Source organism: Homo sapiens, chromosome 1 (genome assembly GCF_000001405.40).
Source record: "Homo sapiens chromosome 1, GRCh38.p14 Primary Assembly".
NCBI classification, from domain to species: Eukaryota; Metazoa; Chordata; class Mammalia; order Primates; family Hominidae; genus Homo; species Homo sapiens.
Window position 1 is genome coordinate 13278229 of NC_000001.11, and position 3075 is coordinate 13281303.

The window sequence follows — 3075 nt, forward strand, 5'->3', positions numbered from 1 at the left end:
TAGAGTGGGGTCATGAAGTATGTGGGAATGATCCACTTTCTGCTCAACTTCACTGCAACCTTATAACTGCTCTAAGAAAATAAATCATATATCCCTAAAAATATTGCACTTCCTTCCAGCTCCAAAATTGTATAAACTTAAATATTTTTAAATAAGAGCAATTCTTATTCATTGATCTTCAAAATCAGTTTTGAAGGTGTCATTTTATTTGAGACTCAACACCACATTAAGCATTTTCTAAATATACTTCAAGTTCTGGGACACATGTGCAGAACGTGCAGGTTTGTTACATAGGGATACATATGCCATGGTGGTTTGCTGCACATATCAAGCCATCATCTACACTAGGTATTTATCCTAATGCTAACCCTCCCCCACCATCCCTACCCCCCAACAGGCCCCAGTGTGTGATGTTCCCTGTATCCATGTGTTCGCATTGTTCAACTCCCACTTATGACTGAAAACATGTGGTATTTGCTTTTCTGTTCCTGTGTTAGTTTGCTGAGAATGATGATTTCCAGCTTCATCCATGTCCCTGAAAATGACCTGAACTCATCATTTTTTATGGCTGCATAGTATTGAATGGTGTATATGTGCCATATTTTCTTTATCTAGTCTATCACTGAAGAGCTTTTGGTTTGTTTCCAAGTCTTTGCTATTAAGAACAGTGCCACACTAAACATACGTGTGCATTTGTCTTTATAGTAGAATGATTTATAATCCTTTGGGTATATACCCAGTAATGGGATTGCTGGGTCAAATGATATTTCCAGTTCTAGATCCTTGAGGAATCACCACACTGTCTTCCACAATGCTAGAACTAATTTACACTCCCACCAACACTGTCAAAGCATGCCTAATTTCTCCACATTCTCTCCAGCATCTGTTGTTTCCTGAAAAATATGGAACTTGTCACGAATTTGCACATCATCCTTGCGCAGGGGCCATGCTAATCTTCTCTGTGTCATTCCAACTTTAGTATACGTGCTGCCCAGGCCAACACAAACATTTTCTTTTTTTTTGAGACGGATCTCACTCTGTCCCCCAGGCTGGGGTGCAGTGGCACGCTCTCGGCTCACTGCAAGCTCTGCCTCCTGGGTTCATGCCATTCTGCTACCCCAGCTTTCTGAGTAGCTGGGACTACAGGTGCCTGTCACCATGCCCGGCTAATTTGTTGTATTTTTAGTAGAGACGGGGTTTCATCATGTTAGCCAGGATGGTCTCCATCTCCTGACCTCGTGATCCACCCATCTCGGCCTCCCAAAGTGCTGGGATTACAGTCGTGAGCCACTGTGCCCAGCCTACAAACCTTTTTAAAATATTGCACTACATACTTTAAAATACTAAATTCCCATTATAATTTAAAATTTCAATATACATATATTCAATATGTATAAAATTATATATATTCAATATGTATAAAATTATGTACGTAAATTTATGTAAAAATATGTATTCAATATGTATAAAATTATATATGAATCACAATATTTATTCTCTATAAACACTTACATAACAGCAGATTTTTGGAGATACCACTCAATATCATCCTGTTTGCATCAATAAATTACACCAGATGGTCTGACCAACCAGCAGATGGCACATGAGTCTCATGGGTTGGAAATTTTTATCTCATGATCACTAGAGATGAACTCAGTCCTGCCCCACCCATCCCAACCTCTGCTGGCTGCTGAGGCTCTGCTGTTTGGGGGAATCACGATTAAGTGGTGGTGGTGTGTAGAAGTTGAGTCCCATTGCCTGCCGTGGGTTTCTGCTGCCTCCCTATTATCAGGAATAGAAGGTGAGATTGAAGGGTGAAGAATGCTGGGACTTCTATTAGGAGGGGGAAAAAAAAAAAGAACAAGATGCATGTATTGAGCTCTTACTGTATGCCACGCCCCATTCCAAGTCCTGACCATACACCATCTCATTGGGTCCTACGATAGTCTCATAGGGTGGTGGCATCATCATCTTCATTTTACAGGGAAGCTGAGCCTCTTGGCTGTTTCGTGCCCAATAGCACCAGCCCCTGAGTCCTCGGCAGGGTTCTACACTTAGGTGCCCTTTGTGTAGGGTCCTTCAGCACAGGTGTGGTCATTAATTACCCACAGGCACTTGATCATTATCCACCCTCTAAGGATGTGTGATTCCTACTACCATGCACTAGTCTTCCTTCACAGGGAGAAAAAGGAGGAGTTAAGAAAAGGTCTTTCATTGATGTTACAGGTATTATATGCCTACATAATGTCAGCATTTTGCTGAAAGGGAATTTGGATGTCTTTATTGGCCACAACTACTTTAATTCAGCAAGGGCCGCTACCCACCATGACAGGCATGGGTTAGTGATGCCCTGAGGCTCCTGCTCATACAGTGTGGAGCTCCCCTTCCAGGGCAGGGCCACGCCTTGGGCAGTGAAGTCCTTTCCCAGCACAGGTAACGGTCAGGAACTGAGAGCTCTGAATCCACCCATTGAGAGTGAACAGGGTCTCGGCATCAGGACAGAATGAGGGCACCTGAAGGGGCTTAACTTAAGTGGCTGACACTCACTTTGCACTTAGAATGCTTCAGGCCCTGTGTGCGTCTCTCATGTGCCACTAAATAGGCACAGAGAATAGCAAGAAGGTAACAGGAGGGGGATTGATCTAAATGATCAAATTCCATTTTGATGGTTTGATTTCCAGGAGCTGAACCTCATCAGTCACAGACAAATCAGTGCCTTATTAGCTCGATCAGTAACTGGACTTTTTTAGGTTTAAATTGTTTAATTGTTAAGCCATGTTAAGCAATTACGGAGGACACCAGATAGTTTCCACTCAGTTTCCCTTTATTTCTGACTGTTACTTTACAACCATCTGTGCAGGGGTAACCCTCTCATGTGTCTCTCCTCCCTGATTCTCACTCTAGCAATTCAGATTCCCATTTCTGATTCTCTGGGACACAGGTCTCTAAAGAGCCCATCCACTCCAAGTCAACTTTTCCCCCAGTCCTGCCCCTCCTGCATCCTCATTCCTTTCCCATTCACACTGAGGAGGCATTTGAAACGATGGGTCTGTGCTCCCTTTAACATGCACTCAT

General features: G+C 43.0%; 1 pseudogene; it reads right to left on the reverse strand.

The window, feature by feature from the left end:
* RNU6-771P (RNA, U6 small nuclear 771, pseudogene) lies at nucleotides 898-1003 on the reverse strand (annotated as a pseudogene).